This window comes from Homo sapiens, chromosome 11 (genome assembly GCF_000001405.40).
Source record: "Homo sapiens chromosome 11, GRCh38.p14 Primary Assembly".
NCBI lineage: Eukaryota > Metazoa > Chordata > Mammalia > Primates > Hominidae > Homo > Homo sapiens.
Genome location: NC_000011.10, coordinates 66,842,702 through 66,856,955, shown reverse-complemented (window position 1 = coordinate 66,856,955; position 14,254 = coordinate 66,842,702). Strand labels below are relative to the sequence as shown.

General features: G+C 60.8%; 3 protein-coding genes across 19 annotated transcripts in view, besides 8 other annotated features; 1 reads left to right on the top strand and 2 right to left on the bottom strand.

Annotated features, from left to right (window-relative positions):
- The window catches only part of PC (pyruvate carboxylase), a 109,964-nt gene extending 101,428 nt beyond the window's left edge, over positions 1-8,536 (top strand). For 12 of the 15 annotated variants that reach the window (NM_001439353.1, NM_000920.4, NM_001040716.2 and 9 more), the window contains 11 exons: positions 3,573-3,717; positions 4,120-4,209; positions 4,296-4,517; positions 5,010-5,166; positions 5,676-5,916; positions 6,033-6,282; positions 6,492-6,736; positions 6,840-7,019; positions 7,097-7,345; positions 7,586-7,726; positions 7,809-8,536. In NM_001439353.1, the coding sequence (NP_001426282.1) occupies positions 3,573-3,717; positions 4,120-4,209; positions 4,296-4,517; positions 5,010-5,166; positions 5,676-5,916; positions 6,033-6,282; positions 6,492-6,736; positions 6,840-7,019; positions 7,097-7,345; positions 7,586-7,726; positions 7,809-8,057 (2,169 nt within the window). In that variant the 3' untranslated portion in view covers positions 8,058-8,536. Of the gene's footprint in view, positions 1-668; positions 811-998; positions 1,143-1,822; positions 1,930-3,572; positions 3,718-4,119; positions 4,210-4,295; positions 4,518-5,009; positions 5,167-5,675; positions 5,917-6,032; positions 6,283-6,491; positions 6,737-6,839; positions 7,020-7,096; positions 7,346-7,585; positions 7,727-7,808 lie in introns of those variants that run through there. The other 3 variants (XM_011545087.3, XM_047427058.1, XM_006718579.4) reach the window with 3 other exon arrangements.
- Positions 7-116: a silencer, noted in NCBI's record as "silent region_3606". NCBI's record gives its function as "represses an Ori minimal core promoter by ATAC-STARR-seq in GM12878 lymphoblastoid cells {active_cell/tissue: GM12878}" and the evidence as "EXISTENCE:reporter gene assay evidence [ECO:0000049][PMID:35858748]".
- Positions 277-806: a silencer, noted in NCBI's record as "silent region_3605". NCBI's record gives its function as "represses an Ori minimal core promoter by ATAC-STARR-seq in GM12878 lymphoblastoid cells {active_cell/tissue: GM12878}" and the evidence as "EXISTENCE:reporter gene assay evidence [ECO:0000049][PMID:35858748]".
- Positions 5,554-6,132: an enhancer, noted in NCBI's record as "H3K4me1 hESC enhancer chr11:66618295-66618873 (GRCh37/hg19 assembly coordinates)". NCBI's record gives its function as "activates a minimal SCP1, AML or CMV promoter by ChIP-STARR-seq in primed H9 embryonic stem cells {active_cell/tissue: H9 hESC(primed)}" and the evidence as "EXISTENCE:reporter gene assay evidence [ECO:0000049][PMID:30033119]".
- Positions 6,133-6,712: an enhancer, noted in NCBI's record as "H3K4me1 hESC enhancer chr11:66617715-66618294 (GRCh37/hg19 assembly coordinates)". NCBI's record gives its function as "activates a minimal SCP1, AML or CMV promoter by ChIP-STARR-seq in primed H9 embryonic stem cells {active_cell/tissue: H9 hESC(primed)}" and the evidence as "EXISTENCE:reporter gene assay evidence [ECO:0000049][PMID:30033119]".
- On the bottom strand, positions 10,404-13,515 carry RCE1 (Ras converting CAAX endopeptidase 1). 2 transcript variants are annotated; one of them, NM_005133.3, is made up of 8 exons: positions 13,316-13,515; positions 13,095-13,197; positions 12,917-13,000; positions 12,592-12,670; positions 11,920-12,087; positions 11,719-11,790; positions 11,394-11,456; positions 10,404-11,096 (listed from the first exon to the last, which is right to left on the bottom strand). In NM_005133.3, exons 1-8 carry the CDS (start codon positions 13,498-13,500, stop codon positions 10,861-10,863), a joined length of 990 nt encoding a protein of 329 aa, NP_005124.1. In that variant the 5' UTR covers positions 13,501-13,515; the 3' UTR covers positions 10,404-10,860. The 2 variants fall into 2 exon arrangements, with proteins under 2 accessions (NP_005124.1, NP_001027450.1); NM_001032279.2 differs by having other exon boundaries at positions 12,917-12,996.
- Positions 12,938-13,644: an enhancer, noted in NCBI's record as "NANOG-H3K27ac-H3K4me1 hESC enhancer chr11:66610783-66611489 (GRCh37/hg19 assembly coordinates)". NCBI's record gives its function as "activates a minimal SCP1, AML or CMV promoter by ChIP-STARR-seq in naive and primed H9 embryonic stem cells {active_cell/tissue: H9 hESC(naive and primed)}" and the evidence as "EXISTENCE:reporter gene assay evidence [ECO:0000049][PMID:30033119]".
- Positions 12,938-13,724: a biological region, named in NCBI's record as "NANOG-H3K27ac-H3K4me1 hESC enhancer GRCh37_chr11:66610783-66611489".
- Positions 13,285-13,724: a silencer, noted in NCBI's record as "silent region_3604". NCBI's record gives its function as "represses an Ori minimal core promoter by ATAC-STARR-seq in GM12878 lymphoblastoid cells {active_cell/tissue: GM12878}" and the evidence as "EXISTENCE:reporter gene assay evidence [ECO:0000049][PMID:35858748]".
- TOP6BL (TOP6B like initiator of meiotic double strand breaks) overlaps positions 13,440-14,254 on the bottom strand; it is a 98,748-nt gene continuing 97,933 nt past the window's right edge. For both annotated transcript variants that reach the window (NM_024650.4, NM_001302084.2), the window contains 2 exons: positions 13,887-14,107; positions 13,440-13,787 (listed from right to left, as the gene is read on the bottom strand). In NM_024650.4, the coding sequence (NP_078926.4) occupies positions 13,722-13,787; positions 13,887-14,107 (287 nt within the window). In that variant the 3' untranslated portion in view covers positions 13,440-13,721. The remainder of the gene's footprint in view (positions 13,788-13,886; positions 14,108-14,254) is intronic.
- Positions 13,835-13,974: a silencer, noted in NCBI's record as "silent region_3603". NCBI's record gives its function as "represses an Ori minimal core promoter by ATAC-STARR-seq in GM12878 lymphoblastoid cells {active_cell/tissue: GM12878}" and the evidence as "EXISTENCE:reporter gene assay evidence [ECO:0000049][PMID:35858748]".

Genomic DNA, 14,254 nt, shown 5'->3' with positions numbered 1-14,254 from the left:
CAGCGCCCACGGGTGGCGCCCAGTCACGCCCGAGGCCCGGGCCGGCGCGGGCCCTCCGCGCTGTCCCCCGGCGCTGCCGCAGCGCACTCACCCTGGCACAGGCGCGCGCGCCCCCGGCCATCCTGGCGCCCCGGCATCCTGCACCGCACGGGCGCCCGCCGCCGCGGCGCGAACCTCACTCTGCAGACAGCCAGACAAAGCGCCTGCTCGCGGGCCCCTTCACCATCTCCCGGAGACGGGCGTCTTTGTCACATGTCGCTGGGCACCCTCCCCAACACACCCACACATGCCCACACACCCACACGTCCCTGCACCCACGGGCAGGGCCGAGCGCAAACCCGCACTGTTGCTGGGACCCTTGCGTTCACAGACACACGCTGAAGGTCATAACCGTTCTGCATCACCGAGTCACGTGGAGGGTCCCCAACCGGCACGGGGTTCGGCCGTGGGGGGGGCTGGGGCGGCGCCCCTGGCAGGGCTGCTGCGGGGTGGGGCCGAGAGGGCTTGGCCTCCGGGCAGGCGCCCCGCCCCCGCCGCCCCGCCCTGTCCCCAGCTGCCTCTCGCCTCTCCCTCCCTCCCCAGCTGCCCCGCCCGCCCCGCGGGCCAGGCGTTCCGGAGCCAACCGGCCTCCGCCTCGGGCCGGATTGGTCTGCGCGGCGCGGCTTCCCAACCGCCGGGGGCACGCATTGGGAAGCTGTGCGTCCTCGCAGCGCCTGCGGCCCCTCCCTCCCGCTCTGTCGCCGCCGGGCCATTTCCCTGGAAGAGCGGCTCGGAACCAGCTCCTCTCAGAGAAAGGGCTCCCGGCGTGAGGTGGGGGAGGTTCTTTGCTTCCTGGTTGAGAAAGCTGGGGCTTCGGTGGCTCGGCGAGCCTGGTTTCCTTCCAGCTGTGCCCGCCACCACCAGTGGTCTGCCCAGTTGGGAAACAGGAAGTCACCACCTCCCCGTGTCTCCTGGTCCTTAAGCCACCTAAACCTCAGCCATCCTCGTTCTCCCTCCAGCCCTGATCCCCATGGGCCAGGTGGCAGGAAACTCGGGGAAACCCAAGATTGGAATTCTGATCCTGTCAGCACAGCAGTGTAGTCCTGGGCACGTTACCTGACCACTGAAAACAAGTTCCTCCTGTAGGCCAGGAGAGTTGGATGGTACATACATAAGCATTTCCTAGGGGCGAGAGGGGAGGACAGCTGCAGCTTGTGAGGGGCTTACAGGCAGCCAGAAGCCATTCTGTCACCACTCACTGGGCCTCAGCTGTGGCGTTTGTAAAATGAGGGGGATTCAGTCCTGGTGCAGGTCAACTCTGATGTGCAGTGGCACCAGCTATGTCTTTGTTCCTCTTCTCCCCATCAAAAATGTTTTCCACCGGGTGCAGTGGTTCATGCCTGTAATCCCAGCAGTTTGGGAGGCCGAGGCGGGTGGATCACTTGAGGCCAGGAGTTCCAGACCAGCCTGGCAAACATGGCGAAACCCCATCTCTATTAAAAATACAAAAATTAGCCGGGCGTGGTACCGCATGTCTGTTGGGATGAGGCACGAGAATCGCATTAACCAGGGAGCCACAGGTTGCAGTGAGCTGAGATTGTGCCACTGAATTCCAGCCTGGGCGACACACTTTGTCTCAAAAAAAAAGTTTTCATTCACTCTAAATATAGATGTTTACCAGCATCCACCATGGCCACCCAGTGCTGGGAGCCGGGTTCATCAGGAACCAGATGGGCCTGGTTCCTGCCCCCATAGAGCTTACAGTATGGAGGAGAGGATGGGCAACCCGACAGTCACAAAGGGGAGACTCAGTGGGGACCCTCCACATGACTCGGTGATGCAGAACGGTTATGACCTTCAGCGTGTGTCTGTGAACACAAGGGTCCCAGCAACAGTGTGGGTCTGCGCTCAGCCCTGCCCGTGCAGGTTCCTCAGCGGCCTGCTGGAAAGGTGAGCATCAGCTCTGCCGAGGGTGTGAGGACAGGGCGAAGGCCTCCAAGGGTCCTTCTCACTCTGCGCGCTCGGGGCTCTTTGGATGGTTTCATTAGCTGCCTCCCTTCTCCAGTGCCATGCCTTGGCCCAGCTGAAATGTCAGCATCTCTTCAGGAGAGGCAGGGGCGAGGCTCAGGGGCAGACAGGCACAGCACTGCTGGCGGGGTCCCACTCTGTGGTGAGCACCTGACAGGCTGGTGGGGGAGGCACCCTTCCTGTCCAGGCCTCCAGGTAATAGGAGCCTAAGAGACGGAGAGCTCAGAGGAGTCTGGGTGGCCTTGAGTCCCTGTTGAAGGTGCCGACAGGGATCATGAATAAGTGACGCGTGGAGGTGTTTTCTTCGCGGTGGAAGCCAGGGCTGTCGCTACACAGCCACAGGCCATGCTTTCACAGGTCTTGGAGCACCTGTCACAGTGCTGGCTCGCATGTCCCCGTTTAAGTCATACTCACCCTGGCCCAGCCTCATGTTGTCACCCAGGCATTTAATGAGTGGAACCGAGGGCCCCTGTGCACAAAGTGCACTGACACATGCCTCAGGCAGCACCCTGCCCCCAAGGGTTCCCAGGCAGACAAGCAGAGGATGAAGCCGATGGGTGTGCTTGCCCACAGCGGGTTCCTCAGGGGACTGCTGGAAAGGTGAGTGTCAGCTCTGCCGAGGGTGTGAGGACAGGGCGAAGGCCCTTGAGAAGTTCAGGGAGAGCTTCCCAGGCAGGTGCAAAGGTGTGGAGCGCAAGGCAAGTTTGATGTGGCTGGAGGTGGCCACAATGAGGAAGGCGGTGGAGGGTGTGGCCTGGAGATGGAGAAGAGGTCACAAGGTCCCAAAATGGCCGTGGTCGAATCCTCTGGCTTGACCAGTGGCATGGGAGGAGTGGGTGATGAGGGTGATGGGATGCAGGTTTTGGTAACTGGGGGGACAGTGGGGCACCCACTGGGCACAGGAGGACTGGGTGCATAGGCAGGAAGCTGGCCGTGGACTTGCTGAACTTATGCGAGGGGTGAACAAGGAAAGGCCCGGGAGGCAGTTGCACCTCTGGGTCTTGCCCTGGAGGCAGAGCCTGTCACTGGCGCCACAGCCCCGGGACGGGGCCTCCTGGGGAGCATGTGGTGTGTGAGGAGCTGGGGAGGAAGAGGACAGGAGAGCAAGATGGCTTGGAAGCCCAGGGAACGAGCAGCAAGGCGGGAGCATGCCCGCTGGACTCAGCTGGGAGGAGTGACTTAGAGTGCCAGAGTGTGGTCTGTTGCGGTCAAGGCCCTCTTTCGAGAAGCGTGGACGAGGGGCAAGGGTGACTGCTGTGGGCCACGCTGCTGGAGAAAAAGGCTGAGCCCTGTTCTAGGCTGCGGGGAGGCAGGAAGGGTGGCCTTCAGCACATGCTTTGGTGTAAACAAGTATGGAGGGAGCAGGCCCAGCCCGTGACAGCTTAGGGGGCTCTGCTGGAGTGAGGAGAGGGCTGAGGGACGGGGAAGTGCCCCTCTGCAGGGAGGCCCAGAAGCTGTGCTGGCCCAGGGCAGCATCTTCAGCCTTTTCTCTTTCAGCCTTTTCTCCTCTGCCTTCCCTGTCTGTGCTGCATGGTGACCCCCTCCCACCCGCCTCTGTCCTGCAGACCAACATCGCCTTCCTGCAGAATGTGCTCAACAACCAGCAGTTCCTGGCAGGCACTGTGGACACCCAGTTCATCGACGAGAACCCAGAGCTGTTCCAGCTGCGGCCTGCACAGAACCGGGCCCAAAAGCTGTTGCACTACCTCGGTCTGGCCCGAGACTGCCCTGCCCTGCCCTCCCCTCCCCTCCGCTCTCCAATCTCTTGCTCCTACCTCCTTGCCACTCCCCATGACCAAAGAACTCCTTAGTGCCCCCTGCCCCTCACCCCTGCCCTCATTCTGGCCCTGCGTCCTCTTGTCCTGCACCCTGCCATTCACTGCTCTCCTTGCTTCTGATCTGAGAGACCCCACCTTTCCATCCACGTGGTCCTCAAGACGTCCCCACTGCCTGTACCCAGGAGGCCCTGGCTTTGGAGAGGACAGGGGCCAGCTGGAAGCCCGGGGATCCTGGAGGGATGTGTCCCTGTCCCTGAGCCCAGCCACTCTCACTGCTGCCCTCGACTCAGCCTCTGCCCAGCCCACCCTGACCCACTGCCCGCTTTCTCCCCAGGCCATGTCATGGTAAACGGTCCAACCACCCCGATTCCCGTCAAGGCCAGCCCCAGCCCCACGGACCCCGTTGTCCCTGCAGTGCCCATAGGTAGGTGAGATCCATTCTGTCAACTCATGGGGGAGACAGGAGGTTGCCACCTGCAGGATGGGCACCAATGCCCCTGTCTACCCTAGGCCCGCCCCCGGCTGGTTTCAGAGACATCCTGCTGCGAGAGGGGCCTGAGGGCTTTGCTCGAGCTGTGCGGAACCACCCGGGGCTGCTGCTGATGGACACGACCTTCAGGGACGCCCACCAGTCACTGCTGGCCACTCGTGTGCGCACCCACGATCTCAAAAAGATCGCCCCCTATGTTGCCCACAACTTCAGCAAGCTCTTCAGCATGGAGAACTGGGGAGGTAGGCTGGCATGCTGCGCAGCGCCTGGTAGGAATGGGCGCCCGCTCTGTGGCCAGTCCCACAGGCTTAGGCCACTGGGGACAAGCTAGAGACGCTGACACGAAGAACACCAAAGAGGAAGGACCGAAGAAGGCACAGCGCCCTCTCCGGCCAGGCCTGGTGCCGGCACGAGGTTGCAGAGCTGAGACCAGGTGCATCCTGGGAGGTCCAGGGTCAGGAGGAGACACCTGCCTGTTAATTATAGCACAGAGAGGTAGAGGAGAAGATGGGATTATAAAGGGGGCATAGAAGGGACACAAATGAGCCTGGTCTCCCCCTTAGAGATCAGACAAGGGAAAAATCTGTGGGGGTTGGAGCAGGGAACACAGGTATGGCGAAGATGAGCAGGACCTGGTATTGGGGCCAGAGGCTTGTGCTGCAGAGCTAGCTCCAAGGCCTGGTGGAGTTCCCCAGGCATGCAGAGCTGATCTGGGCCTCTCGGTTCCTGTGCAGGAGCCACGTTTGACGTCGCCATGCGCTTCCTGTATGAGTGCCCCTGGCGGCGGCTGCAGGAGCTCCGGGAGCTCATCCCCAACATCCCTTTCCAGATGCTGCTGCGGGGGGCCAATGCTGTGGGCTACACCAACTACCCAGACAACGTGGTCTTCAAGTGAGCCTGGGGTGGGGTGGGCAGACGCTACCTGGTGTGGCCCAGAGGGTACCGAGCCATGTCGTGATGGCCTCTGTTCTCCACGGTCAGCCTGACACCAAGTCTCTCTGTGGCCACACGCAGCAGGGGCTGCTGTTTGGAAATATCGAGAAGTGTAAAATTGGAGTTGCAGAACCAGACAGGCTTCTAAATCACTCCCTCACTCCTGGGGCAGTGGAAGGTCTGAGACTTGCCTGGGTCACTCGGTGCAGGGCTGGGATTGGAACCCAGGCCTCAAGACTCCTTGCTCAGTACCCTCTTCCACAGCCTGCCACTGGCCTAGCTGATCCTCCAGGGCCTGGTCCACACTTGTGTGGCCACCCCCCGCCTGTGGATGCCACACCCCCTGCCAGGCGAGACCCTCAGATCTCATTCCCCAGGGGCCATAGAGTGGGTCAGGAAGGAGCCAGGGAAGACTGTTCAGAGGGAGGTGGGGTGGGGCTCAGCCCTGGGCTCTCTCACCCTTGCAGGTTCTGTGAAGTGGCCAAAGAGAATGGCATGGATGTCTTCCGTGTGTTTGACTCCCTCAACTACTTGCCCAACATGCTGCTGGGCATGGAGGCGGCAGGAAGTGCCGGAGGCGTGGTGGAGGCTGCCATCTCATACACGGGCGACGTGGCCGACCCCAGCCGCACCAAGTACTCACTGCAGTACTACATGGGCTTGGCCGAAGAGCTGGTGCGAGCTGGCACCCACATCCTGTGCATCAAGGTGCCTGGGCCACTTGTCCGTCCCTCCCTCTCTGCCCCGGCCATGTCCCCGCCACCCACAGGCACACATCCTGCCCTCTCTACCATCTCTCTCTCTCTCTCTCCCACTTCCCCCAGGACATGGCCGGGCTGCTGAAGCCCACGGCCTGCACCATGCTGGTCAGCTCCCTCCGGGACCGCTTCCCCGACCTCCCACTGCACATCCACACCCACGACACGTCAGGGGCAGGCGTGGCAGCCATGCTGGCCTGTGCCCAGGCTGGAGCTGATGTGGTGGATGTGGCAGCTGATTCCATGTCTGGGATGACTTCACAGCCCAGCATGGGGGCCCTGGTGGCCTGTACCAGAGGGACTCCCCTGGACACAGGTAGGAAGAACAGCAGCCCGTGGCCACACCCCTCTCAAAGCCGCAGCCACCACCAGTCCCAGTAGTGTTGGACCTGCCTAGGATCCAGATGCCCTGCTCTGGCCTTGCCGCCTTCTGTCACCTGAGTCAGACATGGGACCTGAGCTAGCCCTGGGTCCTGGAAGAGTCACACATTTCTAAGGCCTCCTCTGACTCTGGCCTCCCTGCAGAGGTGCCCATGGAGCGCGTGTTTGACTACAGTGAGTACTGGGAGGGGGCTCGGGGACTGTACGCGGCCTTCGACTGCACGGCCACCATGAAGTCTGGCAACTCGGACGTGTATGAAAATGAGATCCCAGGGGGCCAGTACACCAACCTGCACTTCCAGGCCCACAGCATGGGGCTTGGCTCCAAGTTCAAGGAGGTCAAGAAGGCCTATGTGGAGGCCAACCAGATGCTGGGCGATCTCATCAAGGTGAGCCCGGCCCGGTGCTCCTTACCTGACCCAGCCCTGCATGCACCTGCCACTGGCCTCCTTGAGGTGCCTGGCACCCTAACCTCCAGGGCCTTCTCCTCAGGTGACGCCCTCCTCCAAGATCGTGGGGGACCTGGCCCAGTTTATGGTGCAGAATGGATTGAGCCGGGCAGAGGCCGAAGCTCAGGCGGAAGAGCTGTCCTTTCCCCGCTCCGTGGTGGAGTTCCTGCAGGGCTACATCGGTGTCCCCCATGGGGGGTTCCCCGAACCCTTTCGCTCTAAGGTAGGGAAGGCCCAGCATGGTGTGAGGGTGGGGGCTGGATGCAGGACTTGGGACTGATCCTCTGCTTTGCTCCCCAGGTACTGAAGGACCTGCCAAGGGTGGAGGGGCGGCCTGGAGCCTCCCTCCCTCCCCTGGATCTGCAGGCACTGGAGAAGGAGCTGGTAGACCGGCATGGGGAGGAGGTGACGCCGGAAGATGTGCTCTCAGCAGCTATGTACCCCGATGTGTTTGCCCACTTCAAGGACTTCACTGCCACCTTTGGCCCCCTGGATAGCCTGAATACTCGCCTCTTCCTGCAGGGACCCAAGATCGCAGAGGAGTTTGAGGTCAGTGGCTCTGGCGCTTCTCCACACTCCACCCTGGCCCCCTGCCCCAGAGCTCTGGAGTTTAGCTTGGCTGTCACCCAGCCTCGCAAGCTTTGGGAGCAGAAAGGACCCTTGAGACCGGGAGCTAGGCCTTTAGGAACGAGGAGCCAAGGCCCAGTGTGGGGACTTCCTATGGCCAGGGCCGGGGGACTGCTCTCCCACCTTGGCGTCCAGCTCTGAGTCTGCACACCCTCCCTGCAGGTGGAGCTGGAGCGGGGCAAGACGCTGCACATCAAAGCCCTGGCCGTGAGCGACCTGAACCGGGCCGGCCAGAGGCAGGTCTTCTTTGAGCTCAATGGGCAGCTGCGGTCCATCTTGGTCAAGGACACCCAGGCCATGAAGGTATTGTCTCCCCCAGGGCCAGCCAGGCGGTGGGGCTTGGCTGGGCCCAGGATGTCATGTCCCCTCTGCCCTGTGTCTTCAGGAGATGCACTTCCACCCCAAGGCCCTAAAGGACGTGAAGGGCCAGATCGGGGCGCCCATGCCTGGGAAGGTGATAGACATCAAAGTGGTGGCAGGGGCCAAGGTGGCCAAGGGCCAGCCCCTGTGTGTGCTCAGTGCCATGAAGATGGAGACTGTGGTGACCTCACCCATGGAGGGTACTGTCCGCAAGGTTCATGTGACCAAGGACATGACACTGGAAGGTGACGACCTCATCCTGGAGATCGAGTGATCTTGCCCCAGACCGGCAGCCTGGCCATCCCCAAGCCTTCAACAGAAGCTGTGCTGCCACGGCAGGCCCAGGCCAGCCAGTGCCCGAGGCCAGGAAGGCCGGGCCGTGGAGGTCCTGTCCACAGCTGGACAGGAGAGACACCGCCTGCGGTGGTTCATTCCTTTCAGCCATCGTCCTTTCCTCCGGCGGACAGCTGCTTACATGTTCATCTCTTGCCAAATAAGGGTCCCCTCCTCACTGGAGACTACAAGTGGTGGGTCAGGTGGTCCTAGGACCCAGGGGAGGTTTAGGGGTCCTATCTCCTGGGGGAAGGGGAGATCTAAGATGTCCCAGGTCCTGGGAAGTTTACTCAATAAAGCTGGCTTTCCCCTGCCCTCCATGCTGGATCCTGTGCAGCCCCCAGCCTGCACCACTCAGCAGTGGGGGGCTGCCTTTCAAGCTCCCCATGGGTGGGCAGGTCAGTTGTGTCGTTCTCCTCAGAGGGTAGTGAGAATGACCATCGTGGCCCTGTTTTAAGTCACTATTGGGTGCCTACTGTGTATACTCCCCAAACAGGACTAGTAGTACTGAACTTGCTTGAGGGGTGGGGCCTGTTCTAAGTATTTAACACCTATTAACACAGGGAATTAACCTTCATCCTCTTATGGACACAGAAATCAAGTCACAGGAAGATTAAATAATTTGTCCAGGACTTCACAAGTAGTAAGAGAGAGAGATGAAACCCAGGCCGTTGGCAGACTCGCCTCCCAACCCCGCTGCTTTATTTTCTAAAACCCAAGGCCAGCGTCCCACCTCAGTTAGCAGGTAAATGCAAGCAGGTACCACCTTGTGGGCAGTGGGTAAGACCCTCGGGAATGGTGATCCGGGAGTCTTGTGTGTGCTCTGGATGTGAGAATGTTGGTGGGAGGTGAGGGGGAGCACCGGGTCCAGGGTCTCAGGTTCTAACCCTGCCACTCCCCATGACCACCCCTCCAGACTCCTGCTCAGTTCCCTTTCCTGCAGTGGGGACAGTAACCCTGCCTGCACCACTGCCCTCCTGCCCACCTGCCCACAGGTAGGGAGAGGATGGTGAAGGGAGCAGGAGGCTGGGCAGTTCCTGAGATGGAGGGGTGGGTGTGGGGAGGCCGATGCAGGAAATCAGCCTCTGGATGGGAAGCACCCAGCAGGCCTCTGCCCAGTGCTCCCAGAGCCAGTCCAACCTCTGGGATGGGCAACTCACAGTGGGCTTGAGCCTCTTCCTTTCTGGACCGCCATGTCCTAGATGTACCCCAGGAGGCAGATGACTGCGATGCTGCCCCTTCCATCCGGGTGGATGTCGTTGTCATGGCCAGCCTGCAGGCATCGTGGGGGAGTGACCGCACATCCTTTTTCCCTCAGTGGCCAGCCTCAGAGAAGGGACCTTGGGACAACCTCCTTGATTGGGGAATGGGACCTAAAGGGCTTTCTTCCCTCCCCCGCCCCCCCTGCCCCCCACCCCGGAGATGGAGTCTCGCTCTGTCACCCAGGCTGGAGTACAGTAGTGTGATTTTGGCTCACTGGAATCTGTGCCTCCCAGGTTCAAGTGATTGTCCTGCCTTAGCCTCCTGCCACCACGCCCCGCCTATGCCCGGCTAATTTTTTGTATTTTTAGTAGAGACGGGTTTCACCATGTTGGTCAGGCTGGTCTCGGACTCCTGACCTCAAGTAATCCAGGGCTAATACTCTTTCAGGAATCTAATTTTAAAAGAGCACAGGCAGGGAAACGAGAGCCCTTCCAAAAATGATGGAGAGCAGGCAGAACACTTGCAGGTGCCGAGAAGGACCCTGGAGTCACTGTGTTGCTTGGCAAAGTCCCTGCTGCCCTCAGGGCTGCAGCCTGTGTTCTGGGTTCCTCTGGGGCAGAGGTCAGAGGTGGAGAGAACCAGAAAAGCCTCTACTTATGGTGACTCAGGGACCTATTTCCTCTTGTGAAAAACAAGACTGGCAGACTGTGGAGGTCCTGGCAGAGGCTTCAGGCCAGTCATCTTCCCCTCAGAGGAGATACGTCGGAGGCTCCATCGCTGAGGTCAGGGCCAGGGCCATGGTTCCCACTCCCTGACCCGTCAGCCAAGGCACAGGCCCCAGGATGAGCTGGGCTCACACCTGGTACCTGCAGTCTCAGAGCCAACCACACTAGGACTTTGGGGCATGGTTCAGGAAGGAGGAAGCCACAGGCTCCCAGCAACCAGAGCTCCCAGCCCATCCTGTACTCCAGGGAACTACCCGCCTGGATGCACCGCCCAGATGTCAGTGTTCAAGGTAGCTGGGACAGGTGGTGGGCACACTCCCAAGAGCTGCCTAGAGTCTTCACACAAGATCCCAAATAGACCGATTCCCAAAGGCCCAAGGCCATGTTACCCAAGTTAAATCTCTTTAATATCCCAATACAAAGTACTGATGCAAAAAGACAATGAGAAAACCCAGGAAGTTGGGGGGTGGGGGGTGGGGAGAGGTTTTATAAATAAAAAACCCCGAGCAGCTTTTCAGAGGCAGAGGAGCTAAGAGAAGCAGCAGTCCAAAGTGAGGAAGGGAGTGTGTGGCTCCTGGGACCTGCCCCTTGTCCCCTCACTCACAGCTGCTCGTAAACACCCCTTTCAAAAGGGGCTGCACCCTTTGGATATCTGCTTCTTTCTCTTGGTCCCTGGGACGCAACTAGCTCTGGCTTCAATCCCCTACAAAAATTCCTGAGATCTCGGGGACCCCAGCCAGCCCTTCCCCTGCAGTACCCCTTGGTGGGGAGGGCTGGGGAGCCGGTGAGAGTTCATAGCGTATCCAGGAGCATAGGTCAGGAGCACAGGGGAGCCTCTGAGTCCCCTGCCCGCTCCAAAAGCACACAAAGGGGAAGGCTGCCGTAGAGCTTGGGGTCCGTGAGGGGCTGGAGCAGAAGCAGGAAGAGTCCCACACCCAGGGCATAGCCTGCCAGCAGGGGCCGCCTCTGTGGGTGCTCCAAGGCCGCGCAAACAGCTGGGAAACCCATGTAATTGCAGAAGGAATGGCAGAGAACCGGCCCAATCAGGTGTCCTGGGGAAAAGAGACAGCAGCTCAGGGAGCAGCCCTACCACCTCCTCTGGCCCTTCCAGGGCTAGTGACCCTCATCCCCTGAAACAGGAGATCAAGATCCCACTACCCCAGCCATCCACCCACACACCACGGCCTCTGCTCCTTTCCACCTCTCAGACCTCACCAGGCTGAGGGCTCTGGCTCAGCCTGTCTCAAGGACTGGAGTAGAAGAACTTTTGTTCCTAGAACAAACAGTATTCCCATTCTCCCACCCGCTCCTGTGGGCCCCCAGGGACCCATGAGGGACTGAGGACCAACCTGTGCGGATGAAGAGGAAAGCAGTGTAGGCACCGAAGACAGCTGTGTAGGAGAACTGGAACGCTGGAGACGGGGAGGCCACGAGTGACCACACCTGCACGCCCTTCCTGCCCCCACACTACATACCCATCAGCCAAAGACCGACCATCCCCTCCCCCCGGGGCAGTAGCTGCCTGCCCCACCACCTACAGCTGTCCTGCACCCCAACTTCCCACGGTCAGTGGCCTCTCCAATACTGTGGCCCTCAGTTCCCAATTCCTTCTCCAGAGTGGCCATTAGCGACATCATCATACACCCTAACCCAGGCCAGCTAGCCAGGACTCACCAGCAGACAAGAAGATGTTCCCCACGCTGCTCTGGCGGAAACGCAGCTGCTCAATAATATGGTGAAAATGGGCTGGGAAAAAGGTGACAATCACATCACAGTCATTCCTCCCAGCCTCCCTTCTAGGACTGCCCCTCACCTCAAGCCCCCTTCTGAGCTCTCATGCTGAAAACACACCAGGACTAATCTGGCCAGACTCACCAACTCCAAAAAAGAGCGGGCAGGTGAACACAGCAGGGCCCAGGCCCATGCACGGTGCTAACATGGGCAGCATACAGGCCCGGAACACCAGCTCCTCTGTCAGCGGGGCGATCACTTGGTTCCGCAGCCAACGCATGTCTGTGAGGCAGCGGGCCCAGGAGCGGGGGGCTGCAGAGGGAATTCAGGACAAGCTGTGAGTGACGGGCTGTCAGACAGTGAGACCCCAGAGGCTCCAAGGGCTCCTCTCCCACAACTTTACCCTGGCCAAACTCAGGTTAGGCATCAATACTGCTGAGGACGGGGGTGTGGACCCAACATAAACCCAATGTCTTGAGATGACCTGAATGGAAGGCATTAGCTGAGGCAAGGGCATCCTGGAAGTAAACTCTGGAGACACCAAAATTTAAGCAAGACTAGCTCTGGTTGGGGAAGCAGGGGACAGTGCTCTCTGATCCACACCAAATACTGCTGGGGGTTCCCAGGGAACTCCTTGGACGTTGGCAATCAACCCTTAGAGGCCACCTAGCTCTATGTTTCCATTTTACTGATGAGAAAACACACCCAGAGAGATGACATTTCACGTGTCCAGATCACACCCTGAGCCCGCTGACTCCCTGCCCCAATGTCCTGGACTGCCTGTGCCTACTTTTCCCTTCAGCCTTTAAGACTCACCCAGGACAACCTTCAGCCCATCTGCCAGGTCACAAGGGCAATCCATAGAGAGCTGCATCAGTGGGCCCAGGAAAAGAATCTGAGGGCAAGAAAACACTTTCACCATAACCCACCGCTTTTGCCCAGACCTTTGCCCATGCTCCCTGAGACTCCAAGCTTGAAATCCTCTCCAGCCACGATTTCCAGACCATGCATACCGGAGGACCCTGGGGCCATCTCAAAAGTCCTGTCTCCCATCAACCAAAAACCAAAAACAAGAGTCCACGGCACTGCCCATCAGGCTGATAACAAAGACCAGAAGAAAAAATACAGCAGGAGCACTCACCATGGTCAGCAACAGGGGCAGCAGCGCCGCTGGGAAAATGCCCTCCAGCCTGAAGCCCATCAGGGTGAGCAGGGATGTGCCTGGCTGAGCCACAGGAAAGGGGGCATCAGTTTTGCTTCCTCCCCTAAAGACCCCTGAGCTCTCACCGCCGTTGCCCTTTGCCCCGCCTCCTTCGCACCTGGATGCCTGTGAGTTCCCTCCAGAGCAGCACGCACAGGGGTGAGAGACTGGACACCACCAGGACGCTGGTGAAGCGTCGCTTGATGACCGCGGGATGGTCCCTACGGAGGGGACAGTAAGTTCAGGGGGCCCGCGGCTGCCCATGAGCACGGACCCGCCCCCGGCTCGCCCAAGCTCCGCCCGCAGGGCGCGGATTCCGGTCGCGCGCAGCCCCCGCACCTGGGCAGTTCGCTCTTCCAGACGTAGAGGCTGCCCACGTAGGAGCAGGCGAGGCTGAGGCAGGAGAACACTGACACCCAGCAGCACAGCCCGGGGCCCAGGCCGCCCAGCGCCGCCGACTCGGGCGGCCGCTCCGGCCGCGACACCGACAGCAGTCGCAGCCCATCCCCGCCCAGCGCCGCCATTGCGCCCTGACCCGCGGCGCGCACCAGTGACGCAGTCCCAGGGAGGTGTGGGTGACGTCAGGCCGCGGCGCGGCTCCACGCCCCGCCCCGCCCCGCCCGGGCCCGACGCGGAAGCAGACGCGGAAGAGGACTTGGTGAGCGCGCGGCAGCTTTATTAAACCACGGGATAACGGCTGCCCGCAGCCTCCGGATCGGTGGGCGCTTGCGGAAGGGGACCCGGCTCAGGGCCCAGGGCTGGGACTCAGCCACTCTGACAGGTTGGAGACCTCCTGCAGCCACAGCACGTCCTGCGGGAACAAGGGGGCCCGGGGTGAGGACCTCTCAGCAGCGGCCCGTGGCCTGCACCTCCTGCTGAGCCCTTCCCTGCGCGGCCCTCGCCCAGTTACCTCCAGGCGGCTTCCGAGGCTCGCCCTGCCCGGCGCCAGGGCCCTGCCGTGAGCCTCGCGGTGCTCCCTTCCTCTAGGAGTGAGGGGGGCCGCGGTGGCTTCCGGGCGGCGCGGGGCGGCCTCTGACGGGCTCGGGGCCCTGGCAGAGCGCAGAGCTCGCATCTCCTCTATGCGGGGGCTGCCCCTCTTGAGCCTCTTGTTTTCTGCTTGCCCGCTGGTATCTAGGAGAAAAACAAGCCTCTTCATCTTACTTTCATGGCCCTGTGCTAGGAGCACCCTTGGCCAAGGGGAAGCCTGGGAGAACGGGCGCCGAGGGGCTCTTCCCACCGCATCCCTGTCAGCAGGTCCCATCCACACCAAAACCCTGC